We start from the raw sequence: 1,586 nt of genomic DNA, 5'->3' as shown, positions 1-1,586 counted from the left end.
TTGGCCTGGCAAGGAGGGGAGAGGTCAAATGGGTCTGTAGAAAAGGAAGATTAGAAAGACTCAGTGACGCTTGGGGTTGGGACTGAGGGGACAGGTAGGAGGGAAAGAAGGAAGATTTTTGACTAGTTGCATTGGGAACAGAGACTAGGGAGGGACTGATGTGTAAAAGAGTGCCTGGACATCAGGCACCTCAGACCATTTGCCTATTTTTCAACAAAAATTATTTAGGTCTTGTAGGATGGAGAAATTGGAAGTGCCGTTTTCTGGCCATTTAGAACCACTGTCTAGTTTGTATTGGGGTCAAACGGCATTGTAGAAGAAAATAAGGCATTTAGGTTTTAGGTCAGGTGAGAGTTGAAGAGGTTTTATGTTCTTAAGAACAGAGGCTAAGGGAGAAGAAAGAGGAATGGAGGGTGGAAGGTTGCCTATAGTGAAGGAGGCAAGTTTAAAGAAAAGGGAGAGTAGAGACACGGAGGGAAGCAGTTCGGGGGTTCTTACCCTCCAGAAAAGTGGGAAAGGGGTTGGGGCACAGAGATATGAGATCGGGGCATGGAGATAAGGGGTCAGGGTGCAGAGATATAAGAGGTTGGGGTGCAGAAGTAAGGGATCGGGGCACAGAGATATAAGAGGTCGGAGCACAGAAATAAGGGATGGGGCACAGACATACGAGGTTGGGGTACCTGCCCCTCCCCCAGAAAAGTGGGACTTGCCACTAAGGGTGAAGGAGAAGGGGTTGAGGGGTTCTTGCCTCTCCCCCAGAAAAGCAGAGAAGGGGTAGAGACACGGAGAGAAGGGATTGGGGTACTTGCCCCTCCCCCAGAAAAGCAGGACTTGCCGCTAAGGGTGAAGGACCAAGGCAGGTGTCCCTGCATGGTCTGACACCTCTGAAACGTGGGTGAATAATCAGAGAGGTGTCCCTGCAATGACTAAACACCAAGGGAAGGCTGCCTTCCCAGTCTGTGACCGGCGCCGGAGTTTTGGGTCCATGGATAAAATGTGTCTCATTTGTCTCTACCAGAAAATGAAAAGAATTGAAATTAAGAGAAGGGAGAGATTGAAGAGTGGAAAGGAGAAAGTGGTTGAGGGATAGTGAGAGAGGTTGGAGAAGAGAGTAAGAAGAGGCTGTTTACCCGATTTAAAATTGGTGAGATGTTCCTTGGGCTGGTGGGTCTGAGGACCTGAGGTCGTAGGTGGATCTTTTTCACACGGCAAAGAGCAGGAGGACAGGGGATTGATCTCCCAAGGGAGGTCCCCTGATCTGAGTCACAGCACCAAATTTCATGCGCGTCCGTGTGAAGAGACCACCAAACAGGCTTTGTGTGAGCAACATGGTTGTTTATTTCACCTGGGTGCAGGTGGGCTGAGTCCGAAAAGAGAGTCAGTGAAGGGAGATAGGGGTGGGGCCGTTTTATAAGATTTGGGTAGATAAAGGAAAATTACAGTCAACGGGGGGTTGTTCTCTGGCGGGCAGAGTGGGGGTCACAGGGTGCTCAGTAGGGGAGCTTTTGAGCCAGGATGAGCCAGAGAAGGAATTTCACAAGACAGTGTCATCAGTTAAGGCAGGAACAGGCCATTTTCACTTCTTT

This window comes from Homo sapiens, chromosome 2 (genome assembly GCF_000001405.40).
Source record: "Homo sapiens chromosome 2, GRCh38.p14 Primary Assembly".
Lineage (NCBI taxonomy): Eukaryota > Metazoa > Chordata > Mammalia > Primates > Hominidae > Homo > Homo sapiens.
Note: the sequence above shows the minus strand (reverse complement) of the source record.